General features: G+C 44.6%; 1 pseudogene, besides 3 other annotated features; it reads right to left on the bottom strand.

The window, feature by feature from the left end:
* Nucleotides 5,224-6,155: an enhancer, noted in NCBI's record as "OCT4-NANOG-H3K27ac hESC enhancer chr18:33431417-33432348 (GRCh37/hg19 assembly coordinates)". NCBI's record gives its function as "activates a minimal SCP1, AML or CMV promoter by ChIP-STARR-seq in naive and primed H9 embryonic stem cells {active_cell/tissue: H9 hESC(naive and primed)}" and the evidence as "EXISTENCE:reporter gene assay evidence [ECO:0000049][PMID:30033119]".
* Nucleotides 6,156-7,089: an enhancer, noted in NCBI's record as "OCT4-NANOG-H3K27ac-H3K4me1 hESC enhancer chr18:33430483-33431416 (GRCh37/hg19 assembly coordinates)". NCBI's record gives its function as "activates a minimal SCP1, AML or CMV promoter by ChIP-STARR-seq in naive and primed H9 embryonic stem cells {active_cell/tissue: H9 hESC(naive and primed)}" and the evidence as "EXISTENCE:reporter gene assay evidence [ECO:0000049][PMID:30033119]".
* Nucleotides 7,090-8,021: an enhancer, noted in NCBI's record as "OCT4-NANOG-H3K27ac-H3K4me1 hESC enhancer chr18:33429551-33430482 (GRCh37/hg19 assembly coordinates)". NCBI's record gives its function as "activates a minimal SCP1, AML or CMV promoter by ChIP-STARR-seq in naive H9 embryonic stem cells {active_cell/tissue: H9 hESC(naive)}" and the evidence as "EXISTENCE:reporter gene assay evidence [ECO:0000049][PMID:30033119]".
* Nucleotides 14,183-15,986, bottom strand: NRBF2P1 (nuclear receptor binding factor 2 pseudogene 1; annotated as a pseudogene).

Genomic DNA, 16,411 nt, shown 5'->3' with positions numbered 1-16,411 from the left:
CAGGGGTTCTGCCAGCTGCTAAATATGTCTATGCCAATATGCATTCTGGCACTGGGGAAATGACCACAGGATGGGTCTGGGAGCCCATTGGACCCACTGTAAGTTGGACCTGAGCTGAAACTCTATTAATTACCTGACCTCCATAAGCCCCTACTTTAATTGGAGAACCACAGTGATGTTTTGGGTCACCTGGAATCAATGTCAGCTTCAGCTTATTCCCTGAAATGTCTGATCATTTCCTTTTCCCCAATGCACATTTACCCTGGTAAAAGGCCAGAGGACTCCTTGGGGAAGGGTGGGAGAAAGAGTAACAGCATAAATTGTGGGTAGTGTAGTGGGGTCCTTCCTCAAGGGGACCTGGCCGCCTCTTCATTCAAGGGGTTCTGTGTAAACTTGCTCAAGTCTGGAAATTCAGGGTCCATTATTCTGTTTTTATAATTAAAATTAGTCTTTTGTCCATCTGACCTAGAAGTTTTCTCCTTATATAAATTAAGCAGGAATGCAGTAGGCTTCCTATCAATTTCACTTCTAGGAACACTGTGATTAATTAGCCAATGCCAGAGCACTACACAAGTCAGACTATTCTGATTGCTGCTTTGTCTCTGCTGTCCATTATGTAGCTACACCCTCCTTGTCTTTGACAGTTGAGTGCTGCCACTTGGCCCCTGCCACCTTGTGATCCACTTATTTCCATTGTATTTAAATTTTATAGTTGAGTGACTGCAGTTCCCACTGTTAGATCTGACATGCAACAGCAATTACAGGGCTCTTCAAAGATGCAGGTGCTGCCCTCACAAATCTACTTCACAAGGCATTGGTCAAGGGTATATCTTCTGGACTGCCTCAACTGGGATGAGTAAGTCTAAAATGACTAATCCGCTCCACCATTCCAATCTCCCTAACCCTTTTGATCCCTTCCTCTATATTAAACCAAGGGAGATCAGGCATTTCCAGCTCACTCACAGTGTGCCACCTTTTAACCCATATTTCAGCTAACCAAGCAAATAAACTATTAGAACCTTTTTTAACTCCCCGAGCTGCAACGTTAAATGCAGAGTCCCTACTTAGTGGGCCCAAATTAATAAATTCAGCCTGATCCAACTCTACGTTCCTTCCATCATTATCCCATACCCTTAATATCCATTCCCATGCCTATGATCTCAAACAGTTCTTTTCTAGTGTAGCACATCTCCTCATGGGTCACATTCTGAATCTCACCTCTAGGGGCCCTCTGGGGCTTTATTCCAGTTATAGATCTAGAAGCAAACAAGAGTGTTGGGGGTGGCTTCTGGGGAGAATCAACATTATTTTGCCTGGCAGCTGCCCCAGAGGAGGCAATCACTATTTCCTCAGGCAGCACAGGGTTTATCTCCTCAGACAAAGGTGGAAAGGCTGATGGCAGCATGGTTGAGGGAGGGGATGTTGCCACTACTGGTGATGGGGAAGCTGTTCCTTCTGGCAAGAAAGGTTCATCAGAGTTTACAAACTCAGTGTTCTCAGCTTCATAAGGCTCCTCCTACATGTTCCGATTCCAAGTTTTAGGGTCCCATTCTTTTCCAATCAATGCCCTCACTTTAACAGTAGACACCTGGTGAGGTTGTGCATGCATCTTTCATTGCAGGTCAGCCACTCATATGATAAGAGCTTGTGTCTGTTTTTCCACCCATTCAGCTCTTTCTCTACAGGAGATAAGACTCACTCAGGACAATCTTAGCAGATTTGAGGCTCAGTATCTTCGTCTGAAGCCAGGAGACAGAATCCCTGAGTTCATCATTTTCTTTCATCAATTTGTCCATTAAACTTAGGAACAACCAGCCAGCTTCATTATGTTCCTTGGTTCTCCATATATGGTCAAAAGTATTATGTATAGAGTCACTAAACTCCTTGCCTCTCACAACCAGTGAATCAGAAGTGTCAAATGCATTTATTTTACATAACTCTCTAAACAGTTCATGCCAAGGGCTATCAGTGTTCTCCTTACTATTAGAAGTAGAGTCCTTAGCAGCATTTTTTAGTCTAATCATATTAAGCAGCCAACTCTAGGAACCCCAAAACCAATGAAAGAACTCCATCCTTAATATTCTATTCCTCTAGAACCACTCTTGGTACCAAAATCTGTATAGTCAGGATTCTCTAGAGGGACAAAACTAATGGTGTGTATATATATATATATATATATATAGAGAGAGAGAGAGAGAGAGAGAGAGAGAGAGAGGGAGAAAGTATTAACTGACATGATCACAAGGTACCACAATAGGCTGTCTGCGAGCTGAGGAGCAAGGAGAGCCAGTCTAAGTCTCAAAACTGAAATACAGTGTTTGAGGGCAGGAAGCATCCAGTGCAGGAGAAAGATGTAGGCTGGGAAGCTACTTTGCACATTTTTCTGCCTGCTTTATATTCTAGCTGCACTGGCAACTGGTTAGATTGTGCCCACCCAGATTAAGGATGGGTCTTCCTTTCCCAGCCCACTAACTCAAATGTGAATCTCTTTTGGCAACACCCTCACAGACACACCCAGGATTAATACTTTGTATCCTGCAATCCGATCAAGTTGACACCCAGTATTAACCATCAGAGACTTTGGGAGAAAATTTTCCTTTATGGAGTCAAGGATTTTCCCTTCTCATTGGCAACAGATAGGATGAATAGAACGATTGTCTTTTTTTAAAGTGAGGGATATGAGGATTAATACTTTCCTTTCCAGGACATGTACTGTGTATCTGCAACAAGGAAAAGTACTTGCAATTTTGCAAATTTCTGGTAAATTTTTCCTGTTTGTTTGAAAATCATGCTTGTTTGTTGAATAATATCCCTACTCAGGATTAGGGGGAAGTCTGTATCCCTGTGTATCCTATGAAGGAAGAACACTGTGGTTACATGTCACTTTTAACCCAGAGTTTCTGCCCTGAAGAAAGAGATAAAAATGGTCAGGACCCCTTACCCCCAGGAAAGGTGGCAGAGATACAGTCTCAGTCATAGCCCTCTCTGTTTTTTGCCCCCAGAGACAAGTAAACCAAGCCAGCTCTGGGGCACTTAGTCAGGTGTGGAATCCCACTTTCAGGCAGAAAGGGACACCCAGATAAGGTGCGGACTTTATACAACTTGCCTTCCAAAGCGAATAAGAGAATGAAACCTTTTGTATGTTGCCTGTTTCTTGGAGTCCCGTGCTTTATATCACATTGCAATAAAAAGAAGGAGAGCATGACCGGGCTCAAACAGGGATGCATCCCTAATTTTGGCAGTTTCTAAAATAAACAGTGAGAGTTTAAATGCCTTAGCCAGGGCCATCTGACACCCAGATCTCCTGACTTTAAACACAAAGTTCTTTCCATTTAGCCTCAAGGGCCAGGTTATTTTAAGCTGAAGCGCAAACAGACATCACCCAAGATGGGTTTCCAGCAAGGGCCTCCACTGGCCGCCTGTTTCTTCTCTAGCCTGGGAGCCCCCTGCAAAAGCTCTAGGAGAGGAAGAATAGAAGTAAATGAAAAAGACATTCTGCCAAACAGCCACAATGTAACAATAGGGTTCCTCTGTTTGGAGAAAAAAGTGAGAAGGGACTCGAGGTCTCTTTTGGGTGGTCTGGCCCTCTGGGTGACTGTGACCACCCATTGCTGAGGGCAGTTCCTCCATCCTCTATCATGTAGTTGTGAGAAGCTTGAGCTGCAGTCCAAAACAGATTCTGTTCCGACTTAGTGAACTGTGGTGACGGCAAGTCATTCTGGTTTTCTTTCTCTCCTTGGTTCATTCCTTTTGTTGATTGATCAGTCTTTCATGCTAGACTTTCTTCCTGTGCTATCTCTCCAGTCTTTTGGGCCCCGGGCCTCTGGGTTGGGTGGGTCAGCAGGCTATCCTGAGGGGGTGAGCTTTTAGGTCCTATGGCTGCCCTTCCCAAGTCCATGACCCACCACACATGCATCTTGACCACTCCTGGCTCTGACCACAGCATGGATGTCCCCACTGAATGCGGTGTTTGATTAAGAAGTCCCCAAAGGAAACATCTGGAGGCTCACTGATCAAGAAGCCCAGGATAGGCATTGTAGCAGCTGAGCATCCTCAGACCCTTGGACCCTAGCTTATATGGTGTGGCTGTGTCCATGACCAAATCTCACCTTGAATTGTAGTTCCCATAATTCCCACATGTGGGAGGGACTCGGTGGGAGACAATTGAATCATGGGGGCAGTTTCCCCCATACTGTTCTCATGGTAATGAATAAGTCTCATGAGATCTGATGGTTTTTTAAGGGGAAACCCCTTTTGCTTGGCTCTCATTCTCTCTCTTGCCTGCTGCCATGTAAGACGTACTTTTTGCCTTCTACCATGATCATGAGACCTCCTCAGCCATGTGGAACTGTGAGTCCATTAAACCTCTTTTTCTTTATAATTTACCCAGTCTCGGGTATGTCTTTATCAGCAGTGTGAAAACGGACTACTACACTAGCCCAGCAACTTAGCTCATCTAACTGCTGCTGGCATCTGGCCAAGCAGCCCACTTTCCTGGTGACAGTGGGAAGAAGAGACAAGGGCTCCCTTGAATGCTATTTCAGGCATAATAGTAGGTGTTCCTAAACTGGTTGCCATTTGTGCTCCAGATTTGTAGGGGCTCTTACCATGATCTAAGAACAAGTCATTTCCTCTTGGTTTTTATGATTAATGTGACCTGGTGAGAGACAGACTATACAAGCAGACAATGGCCAGACCATATAAGACAATGGAATTCTGACCCACAACTTCTGCAGCAACCAGCCCAGGAGGGTCAGCACTCGACACTGACTGTGGCTTCCCTATATTTTTTATCCCTGCCTCCTCCCCAATTTGGTACCAAGCAGAGACAGCCAAATATGCACACCAAAGCAGTCACAGTGTGGCAGGCCGGGTCTCCATTAGCAACCAGGGCAATCAGCCTTCACCAGCACCTTACTGTAGCTCTGGTAAATGTACAAATTAAACATAAGTTAACTTAATTAATTAAGTTTAACATAAGTTAAACTTAGTACAATGGCTAGAATGTAAAAACAAGTTCATTAAGAAACCACCTGGGCTTTCTCAGATCTTAGAGTTTAATTAAAATAATGGAGACGTTCTTGCATACCTTGTACCCGGATACACTTTAGATTAAGTCATCTTTCTAAGGCTCTGAAGTAATTGTCTAGATCCTGGACCCTAGTTAAAGATTAGATAGAGTGGAACACCTTGGCTTTCAGCTTGTAGATGCACTGAATGTATATAAGCACTAGAAAAACCTTGTAACTTTGAGTTGGTCTGATGAGTTACTCTCACCTTCTCCCTGTAACTGGTTGCAGAAATAACACAGCTCAATAAGAAACTCCCTTCTTTCCCAGTCTGTCTGCATCTCATTATTGGAACACAAGAACAAGCAGCTGGACCTCGTTCTACCTGGCAACAATATGGAAGTCCTCACTTCTAGTCAGCCCACCTCCACTTTCCTACACCAACAGCCTTCAGTCAGAGCCCACCTGAAGCCTCCCATTTTCCACTACGAAGCGTCCCCTCTCCCTGCCTGCCTTGGAGTCTCTGCCCAAGACCATGATGGTGGCTGTGGCTGACTCCCTCTGACTGCTCTCATCCAGGCAATTTTTGTTTATTTCCACACTGGGTAAGTCACATTAGCTTTTCAACTTCCTGCCATCTCCTACCCTCAACTGCTCAAACGGAAAATATCCTCAGTAATGAGAAGGGAGTGATTTTGTGCTGATGGGCTCTATTTTCTTTAGAAGAGTACAATCAAATGACAGCAGGCAACAGAAAGCCATCTTTTTTTTCTTAGTGTTTGGAGCAGTCTCTGCATTACCCACAGGGATGTTAAAGGCAAGTGGCCAACCCTGGCGCTGAGGATCCACTGTGAATAAAAAATTCAAGAGGTTCTGTAGAAAATCAGGCTTTAAGGATTCCAAAATCTGATGATGAAGTGTCTTTTCATATTTATTGCTGAAGCCCCACCCCACCCCTCATCTCACCTCCCACATTCCCTTTTTGGATACCTTTCTCTTGCAAGAGATTTGCACCCAGATAGCTCCTTTGCTGCCTTTAGAACCCCCCATTAGCAGCAATTAAAAAAAGGTCTTCCAGCAACTTGACACTTTTTGAAATGCTAATTGATGCTAAGCAGAGCCATCAGGCTGTCGGTCACACCTACTCAGTCCCTGCCCCAGGCTTTTTTGCATATTTAAATCAATAAGTTTCTAAACCTGGGAAGTGTGAGTTATGCAAATAGCTGTTCCTACCGCCCTTGCTGAGATTAGTACCCGTGGGGCTTTAGAAAATCCTCAGGTGTCTGACAGTGTTTTAAGTCTTCTGCAGGTGGAATGCTCAGATCATCTTGGGAGTGACCAGTATTAGAGCTTAGTTTGAGTATTTGCATAAACTGGTTGAAAAACACTGCCTAAGTCTGTTGCCTCAGCAATAAAATGATTTTCAATGAAATCCACGTATACTGCCACAATTGAAAGAAATAATTCAGTGATGAGATTGCTAAATTCGGTACAGAACTAGTTAATGCCCACAGGGTAAGAATTCATAACCAATAGACAGAAATCGTTTACAACTTATCCATCATCTATAAGTCAATATCTAGCATCACAGTCTGATCAGTCAATAGTATGTCCATAGGAGCCAATTGTGAAAGGTGTCAGAATTAAAATAGAGTCACTTGTGTTAAAAATAAAAATAAAAATAACAAAACCCTGATGAATAGAGTCAGGGAAAGCCATGAAGAGAGGGTTCTCATACTTGAAGGCCTATTACCAACTATCACAAAAGACTATGCGAAAACCACAACCTTGCACAAAGGCCATCACAACCTTACACAAAATATATTTTCTGCAAGGACATCCGTCTAGCAACTGCCTGCCCAATCTCAGACTGGTGCCCCCACCCCTTGTTATTGATCCTTGTAGCCAAGCATAATTATCTCAAAACAATTGTGTTATTCTGTAACTGAGCTCAGGTTCAGCTGCTCACCACTCAAAAAGCCAGATATGTGAGAAGTGAGGATTGGCAAAAGGAAAGCAGGTTTATTCAAGTGCTCGTGGCTTGGGAGATGGCCAGACTCAAGTCTCTAAAAGCCATCTCAAAAATCTCAAGCTGGGGCCAGGTGTGGTGGCTCATGCCTGTAATCCCAGCACTTTGGGAGGACGAGGCGGGCAGATCACCTGAGGTCAGTTTCACTCTTGTCCGTGTGAAGAGATCACCAAACAGGCTTTGTGTGAGCAATAAGGCTGTTTATTTCACCTGGGTGCAGGTGGGCTGAGTCCGAAAAGAGAGTCAGCGAAGGGAGATGGGGTGGGGCCATTTTATAAGATCTCGGTTGGTAAAGGAAGAAGGGGGGTTATTCTCCAGTGGGCAGCGGTGGGGGTCACAAGGTGCTCAGTGGGGGAGCTTTTTGAGCCAGGATGAGCCAGGAGAAGGAATTTCACAAGGTAATGTCATCAGTTAAGGCAAGGACCAGCCATTTTCACTTCTTTTGTGGTGGAATGTCATCAGTTAAGGCAGGAACAGGCCATTTAAATTTCACTTCTTTTGTGATTCTACAGTTACTTCAGGCCATCTGGCTGTATATGTGCAGGCCACAGGGGATATGATGGCTTAGCTTGGGCTCAGAGGCCTGACATTCCTATCTTCTTATGTTAATAAGAAAAATAAAACAAAGTAGTGTTAAAGTGTTGGGGCGGCAAAAATTTTTGAGGGTGGTATGGAGAGATAATGGGTGATGTTTCTCAGGGCTGCTTCAAGTGGGATTAGGGGCAGTGTGGGAACACAGAATGGGAGAGATTAAGCTGAAGGAAGATTTTTTAGTAAGGGGTGATATTGTGGGTTTGTTAGAAGGAGCATTTGTCATATAGAATTATTGGTGATGGCCTGGATATGGTTTTGTATGAATTGAAAAAATAATGGAATAAGACAAGGAGAAAAATAGGTATTAAAGTACTAAGAATTGGGAGGACCCAAGACATCCAATTAGAGAATGCCTAAGGAGGTTCAGCATAGCCCTGCCAGCAAAGATTATTTACTTTAAGAGGGAGTTAAGAGTGATGGTTTGGGGATAGCACTAGGAGATATCAGCTGTGATGGCTTGTAGAAACAGTGTAAATAGGCAGTGTAAACAACGGCAGGGCATTTATGAGTAGTTGAGAATGGTGAATAGGAGTATGACTAGACAGAAGATAGTAGGGATGACAAGTTTTTTGGGATGCAGTCCAAGTTGGTCTGGTGTCTGGAAAGACTGGGGCTTAATAAAAAGGAGCGTCTATACAGGAGCTTAAATGGGCTGTACCCTGTAGCATTCTGAGGACAGGCCTGAATTCTGAGAAGGCAAGTGGTGAAAGTATTGTCCAGTCCTTTTATGTTGGTGGCTGAGCTTGGTGAGGTGTGTTTTTAAAAGACCATTAGTCCATTTTACCTTTCCTGAAGATTGAGGAATGTAAGGGGTATGAAGGTTTCACTGAATACTAAGAGCCTGAGAAACTGTTTGGGTGATTTGACTAATAAAGGCCCGTCTGCTATTGGACTGTATAGAGGTGGGAAGGCTAAAAACCGAGGAATTATGTCTGACAAAAGGGAAGAAATGACTGTGGTGGCCTTCTCAGACCCTGTAGGAAAGGCCTCTACCTATCCAGTGAAATTGTCTACCCAAACTAAGAGGTTATTTTAGTTTCCTGACTCGAGACATGTGAGTAAAGTCAATTTGCCAGTCCTGGGCGGGGGCAAGTGCTCGAGCTTGATGTGTAGGAAAGGGAGGGGGCCTGAGCAATCCCTGAGGGGTAGTAGAATAGCAGATGGAACACTGAGAAGTGATTTCCTTGAGGTTAGATTTCCACGATGGAAAGGAAATGAGAGGTTCTAAGAGATGGGTTAGCGGCTTGTAACCTGCATGGAAGAGGTTATGAAATGATGACAGTGTAGAATGGACCTGTGAGGCTGGAAGGAGATATTTTCCTTAGTCTAAGAACCATTTTGCCTTGTGTGGGAAGAGATTGATAGGTGGAAGTTTCAGTGGGGGACTAGGTGGGAGTGACCGATGTGAAGGAGAAAAACTGGCCGTGAGTTACAGAAGTTGGAATGCTAGCTGCTTCTCTAGTCACCTTATCAGCATAAGCATTGCCTAGAGCAAAGGGATCTGATGCCTTTTGATGGCCTTCGCAGTGAATGACTCCAGCTTCCTTTGGAAGTAAAGCGGCCTTGAGCAGAGTTTTTATTAAAGAGGCATTAATGATGGAGGACCCTTGCGGAGTGAGGAAACCTCTTTCAGCCCATATAACAGCATGGTGGTGCAGAATATAGAAGGCATGTTTAGAGTCAGTATAAATATTGACGCATAGTCCTTTTGCAAGAGTGAGGGCCTGAGTTAAGGCAACTAGTTTGGCTTGCTGAAAGGTAGTGGAGGGGGGCAGAGTGGTAGCCTCAATGATAGGTGTGGAAGATACTATAGCATAGCCTGCCTTTGCTGGTGAGTGGTGATTAAGCCTGGTGGAACTGCCATCAATAAACCAGGTGTGTTCAGGGTGAGGAACAGGAAAGAATATTGGGAAATGGAGTGAATGTCAGGTGGTTCAGAGAGATATAGTCATGGGGTCAGGTGTGGTATCAGGAATAATGTGGGAGGCTGGATTGAAGTCTGGGCCAGGAACAATGGTAATTGTGGGAGACTCAACAAAGAGTGAGAATAGTTGAAGGAGCCTGGGAGCAGAAAGTACATGTGTCAGGTGTGAGGAAGAAAATAGATTTTGGAAGTTATGAGAACTGTAGAGATTGAGTTGAGCATAGTTTGTGATTTTAAGGGCCTCTAAAAGTTTTAGGGTAGCAGTGGCCGCCATAGGCAGACTTGAGGGCTAGGCTAAAACAGTAAGGTCAAGTTGTTTGGATAAAAAGGCTACAAGGTGCAGTCCCAGTTCTTGTGTAGGAATTCTGACTGCACAGCCCTGCACTTCAGCTGTGTGTAATGAAAAGGGTTGGGGTGAGTCAGGGAGAGCTAGGGTGGGGGCAGTCTCTAAAGCTGTCTTCAAGGAATGGAAAGAGGAGTGGGGAAAGGATTTAGGATCTGTGGGGTCAGCTAGGTTTCTTTTATTGAGTTTATATAATGGTTTTGTTAGGATGGCAAAACCAGGTATCTAAAGTCAAAAGTACGCAACCATGCCTAGGAAGGAAAGGAGTTGTTGTTTTGTAGAAGGTGTTGGGGTTTGAGAGATCAGTCGGACATGATCAGCAGGGAGCACACGTGTGTTTTTATGAGAATTATGCCGAGATAGGTAACAGATGAGGAAGAAATTTGGGCTTGACTGAAGTAATGGGGGCTCTCTGTGAAGACTTGTGGCAGTACAGCCCAGGTTATTTGCTGAGCCTGATGGGTGTCAGGGTCAGTCCAAGTGAAAGTGAAGAGAGGCTGGGATGAAGGGTGCAAAGGAATAGTAAAGAAAGCATGTTTGAGATCCAGAACAGAATAATGGGTTGTGGAGGGAGGTCTTGAAGATAGGATAGTATGGGTTTGGCACCACAGGGTGGATAGGCAAAACAATTTGGTTGATAAGGTGCAGATCCTGAACTAACCTGTAAGCCTTGTCTGGTTTTAGGACAGGTAAATGGGGGAATTATAAGGGGAGTTTATAGGCTTTAAAAGGCCATGCTGTAGCAGGCAATGATAACAGACTTGAATCCTTTTAAAGCCCGCTGTGGGATGGGATATTGGCATTGAGTGGGGTAAGGGTGATTAAATTTTAATGGGATGGTAAAGGGTGCATGATCAATCACCAAGGAGGGAGTAGAGGTGTCTTATACTTGTGGGTTAAGGTGGGGAGATACAAGGGGAGGATGTGAAGGAGGCTTTGAACTGGGGGAAAAGGTGGCAATGAGATGTGGCTGTAGCCCAGGAATAGTCAGGGAAGCAGATAATTTAGTTAAAGTGTCTCGGCCTAATAAGGGAACTGGGTAGGTGGGGATAACTAAAAAGGAGTGCTTAAAAGAGTATTGTCTAAGTTGGCACCAGAGTTGGGGAGTTTTAAGAGGTTTAGAAGCCTGGCCGTCAATACCCACAACAGTTATGGAGGCAAAGGAAACAGGCCTTTGGAAAGAAGGTAATGTGGAGTGGGTAGCCTCTGTATTAATTAAGGGGACGGGCTTATCCTCCACTGTAAGAGTTACTGAAATCATCTGTGATGGTCCTGTAGGCTTCCGAAGTGATTGAGCAGCGTCAGTCTTCAGCTGCTAAGCCGAGAAGATCTGGGAAGGAGTCAGTCAGAGAGCCTTGGGCCAGAGTTCCAGAGAGCCTTGGGAAGGAGTCAGTCAGAGAGCCTTGGGGCTCTGGAAGTGGCTGCCAGGTGAGTTGAACAGTCCAATTTTCAGTGGGGTCCCACACAGATGGGACATGGCTTAGGAGGAATCCTGGGCTGTGGGCATTCCTTGGCCCAGCGGCCAGATTTCCAGCACTTGTAGCGAGCTCCTGGGGGAGGCGGTTCTGGAGGAACCCCTGGCAGCTATGGTTCAGGCGTTTGGAGTTCTTGTGTGCTGGAGATGTGGCTGGGGTTTGTCTCACAGTGGAGGCAAGGAATTGCAACTCAGGAATACATTGCTACTTGGCTGCCTCTGATCTATTATTGTATACCTTGAAGGCAAGTTTAAGTCCTGTTGTGGGGTTTGAGGGCTGGAATTTAATTTTTGGGGCATTATTTAATGTCAGGAGCAGATTGGGTAATAAAATGTATATTGAGAATAAGATGGCCTTTTGACCTTTTAGGGTCTAGGGCTGTAAAGTGTCTCAGGGTTGCTGCCGAATGAGCCATGAACTGGGCTGGGTTTTTCATATTTGATGAAAAAGAGCCTAAACACTTACTGATTTTGAAAGAGGTCAGATAAAAAAAAAAAAAAAGGAGCATTAACCTTGACTGTGACTTTAGCTCCAGCCACCTTTTTAAGAGGAAATTGCTGGGCAGGTAGGGGAGGGCTAGTTGCAGAACCAAACTGTAAGCTGGACTGGGTGTGAGGAGGGGAGGTGATAAAAGTATTATAGGGTGAGGAAAAATTGGGACCTGGCTCCTCCTGGTGAGCAGCAGCCTGGGGAGGAGGGGAGAGGTCAGATGGGTCTGTAGAAAAGGAAGATTAGAAAGACTCAGTGATGCTTGGTGTTGGGACTGAGAGGACAGGCGGGAGGGAAAGAAGGAGGATTTGGGATGAGTCGCATTGGGAACAGAGACTAGGGAGGGAACAATGTGTAAAAGAATGCCTGGACGTCAGGCATCTCAGACTGTTTGCCCATTTTACGATAAGAATTATCTAGATCTTGTAGGATGGAAGAATCAAAAGTGCCATTTTCTGGCTATTTGGAACCACTCTCGAGTTTGTATTGGGGTCAAGCAGCATTGCAGAAGAAAATAAGGTGTTTAGGTTTTAGGTCAGGTGTGAGTTGAAGAGGTATTAAGTCTTCAGAACTTAAGAGAACATAGGCTAAGGGAGAAGGAGGAATGGAGGGTGGAAGGTTGCCTATAGTGAAGGAGGCAAGTCCAGAGAAAAAAGAGGGTAGAGACAGGGGTAGGGTAAAGACAGGAGAGAAGGGGTAGGGGGTGCTTGCCCCCCAGGAAAGCAGAGAAGGGGTAGAGACATGGAGAGAAGGGGTCGGGGGGTTCTTGCCCCCCAGAAAAATGGTATTTGCTGCTAAGGGTGAAGGACCAAGGCAGGCATCCCCACGTGGTCAGACGCCTCTGAAACATGGGTGAATAATCAGGCAGGCATCCCCGCGTGATTAAACACCAAGGGAAGACTGTCTTCCTGAGTCTGTGACCGGTGCCAGAGTTTTGAGTCCACGGATAAAATGCATCTGCTTTGTCTCTACCAGAAAAGGAAAGGAACTGAAATTAAGAGAAGGGAGAGATTGAAGTGTGGTGCCAAGATTGAAAGGAGAAAGAGGTTGAGGGATAGAGAGGTTGGAGAAGAGAGTAAAAAGAGGCCACTTACCTCATTTAAAATTGGTGAGATGTTCCTTGGGCTGGTTGGTCTGAGGACCCGAGGTCATAGGTGAATCTTTCTCATGGAGCAAAGAGCAGGAGGACAGGGGATTGATCTCCCAAGGGAGGTCCCCTGATGTGAGTCATGGCACCAAAATTTCACTTGCGTCCCTGTGAAGAGATCACCAAACAGGCTTTGTGTGAGCAACAAGGCTGTTTATTTCACCTGGGTGCAGGTGGGCTGAGTCCAAAAAGAGAGTCAGCTAAGGGAGACAAGGGTGGGGCCGTTTTATAAGATTTCGGTAGGTAAAAGAAAAAGGGGGGTTGTTCTCTGGTGAGCAGGAGTGGGGGTCACAAGGTGCTCAGTGGGAGAGCTTTTTGAGCCAGGATGAGCCAGGAGAAGGAATTTCACAAGGTAATGTCATCAGTTAAGGCAAGGACCAGCCATTTTTACTTCTTTTGTGGTGGAATGTCATCAGTTAAGGCAGGAACAGGCCATTTAAATTTCACTTCTTTTGTGATTCTACAGTTACTTCAGGCCATCCGGATGTATATGTGCAGGTCACAGGGGATATGATAGCTTAGCTTGGGCTCAGCGGCCTGACAGTCAGGAGTTCAAGACTAGCCTGACCAACATGGTGAAACCCCATTTCTATTGAAAATGCAAAAAAAAAAAAAAAAAAAAAAAAATCAGCCGGGCATGATGGCACATGCCTGTAGTCCCAGCTACTCGGGAGGCTGAGGCAGGAGAATTGCTTGAACCGTGGAGGCAGAGGTTGCAGTAAGCTGAGATTGCACCAATGCCCTCCAGCCTGGGCAACAGAGCAAGACTCTGTCTCCAAAAAAAAAAAAAAAAAAAAAACACACACACGAAAAAACAAACCAACCAACCAACCTCAAGCTGGCTAAAGGGTTTTTTTGTTTTTGTTTTTTTGGAGATGGAGTTTCACTCTTGTTGCCCAGGCTGGAGTGCAATGGTGTGATTCCAGCTAACAGCAACCTCCACCTCCCAGATTCAACCAATTCTCCTGCCTCAGCCTCCTGAGTAGCTGAGATTACAAGCATGCACCCCCATGCCTGGCTAATTTTGTATTTTTAGTAGAGATGGGGTTTTTCCATGTTGGTCAGGCTGGTCTCGAACTCCTGACCTCAGGTGATCTGCCTGCCTTGGCCTCCCAAAGTACTGGGATTTACAGGCATGAGCCACTGCACCCAACTTTTTTTTTTTTTTAAAAAAAACACAATTACTTTATTGATTTCTTACAATCAAATACTGCCAACTAGCATTACTTCCACTCTCACATCATTAAAACCAAAGGGTATTTCCTCCTTGGTATTTGCAAATGATGCATTATACATTAAACAAAGTTAGAACTTAAAATGTACCCTGATTAATTATGTAAACTGGTAATTTGTTTAAAAAAGCATAATAATTTGGTTCCTTTCTTCATAAAGTAGAAATTTAAATATTTCTCCTGATAGTCTTAAGGTTATAATTATGAGTAGTTCAAAGTGTGGCACATATAGTTTCATCTAGAGGGGTGTGTCTCTTAACACACCTTATTTAAACAATATATGCATTAACAAGATGCATACAGTCAATGAATGATAGAAAGGCTGTTTCAAATATAAGGTAGTCCCTCAGGCCACAATATTATTTAGGTTTTGCATTATCATTTATGGCATTGTAGATTAATTATGCATAACATACTTTTATACATTTTAACCCTGATGATAAGAAAAAATGTTGCTTGAAAAAAAAATTATTCCAGGAAGCCATTTGGTTTGTATCAGGAGAAACTGAACCTCCATGAGTTCAGTGTCTGCCAAGTCGGAATCATTAGCTCAAGTCAGTGAATCAGATATGCGACACATTTCACAGTGACACTGTTTCCCAAGTCCTGGCAATGCATCTTCTCCCACAGTCCGCCAGATGAAGCATTTCCGGGATGACCCTTCTATGTGGTTTTCCCTTTTCATTTTTTTTTCTGCATTAACTATTACTATATTATTTCCTCTTCCCTCTTATGTGGCCTTCCATTTTAATTATTCATAAATCCTTTCGTAATATCCTCAGAGAGCTCCATAAAGGGAAGTTCTGGAGATGAAAAATCCAAGGGAGGAAGATTGGGAATTGAATGTCCTTGGCTTCCCCGGTATTTTCTGCAAACTTCTGCCAGGTTGAGGAGGCTGTAGCAGTTTCTGAATGTGGTGGCAAGTTCCATAACTCTGACATTTCTACAAAATCAGCGTCTACATCCAGCTCATTTTCTACTGGACCTTTTAGAAGTCTGGCCTTTTCAACCTTTAGCTGTTTCTTTCCTTAATCTTTCATTCTCAGCCAGAAGGAATTCCACATGCCTCTTCAAATCTGCAGTTTTGGATGCCTGCTCCTCTATAATTGTTTTGTCATCTTTTGGGGCTTTGCTTCCAATACATGGCTCTGCTGGCTCACTCTTTTTCTGAAGTAAATATAGTAGTGTGTTTGAGTCCCTTTCAAAGATCCCCTGAATCTCAGGCAGGCGTTTCTCTCTGGAAGGGCTGTACTTCTGAGAAAAGGGGCTCTGGCACTCTGCATCCTCTGCAGAGGGTTTGTGAGATGCCTGAAGATGGGCGGTTACATCCTTTGTGTTCTGCTGGGCTTTCAATCTTTCTTCATGCTGGGGCCTTTTCCATCTCTCTTGGATGAGGAGGAGCTGTTTCATGTGACTATCCCTTTGCAATTCCAGTAAAAGCTCAGCTTTTACTGTTCAGATTGTGTCAGCTTCATGGCTTCATAAAGATAGGCTGCAGCCTTTTTGTGACAAGAAATAGCCTCTTCATATTTGTCTGCTGCTAATAAACGGTCTGCTCATCTGCTCTGTTGATGAGCCAGGTTGAGGGGTCTTTCCATTACTTCCATAGACCTTGGGGTAAGCAGCGGCCTTAGGAACAGGAGTGGTGGTGCCAGGGAACATGGAGAGGACTGCAGGAGAGCATGAGGCAGCCGTGGAGACTGCAGCCCCTCTCTGTGCCCCAAGAGCCAGTGGTGGGCACAGAGCAGGCAACAACCTCACCACTTCCTCCTCTGGCACCATGCCACTAAAGGGGTCTTAAGGGGAAAGGTTGCATGGAAACCATGCACAGAAGTGGTCTGGGATGCAGCACTGCTTGTCATTTTCTGATGGCTAGTTTGAGTAATGGACCATCCAGAGGCCTGGTTTGACTCATCTTGGCAGGGATTGGGTTATGGGTTAACCAAGCACTGGTTTCTTCTCAAAAAGGGGAAAATTGCAACTGCCATCTCAGCTTCTTGCCTGGATTGTTTAAACATTAGCATTTGGAATTTTCAAGCAAATAGGTAGCTATAAATGTAGCAAGAAACAAAGCGAGGGAGGGGTTACTTTTGTAAGTATTCAATGGGTTCACCTTGCCCACTGCCTAGACAGAGCTGATTTATCAAGACAGAGGAATTGCAGTGGAGG

This window comes from Homo sapiens, chromosome 18, assembly GCF_000001405.40.
Source record: "Homo sapiens chromosome 18, GRCh38.p14 Primary Assembly".
NCBI classification, from domain to species: domain Eukaryota; kingdom Metazoa; phylum Chordata; class Mammalia; order Primates; family Hominidae; genus Homo; species Homo sapiens.
This window is presented reverse-complemented; position numbering and strand designations above follow the sequence as displayed.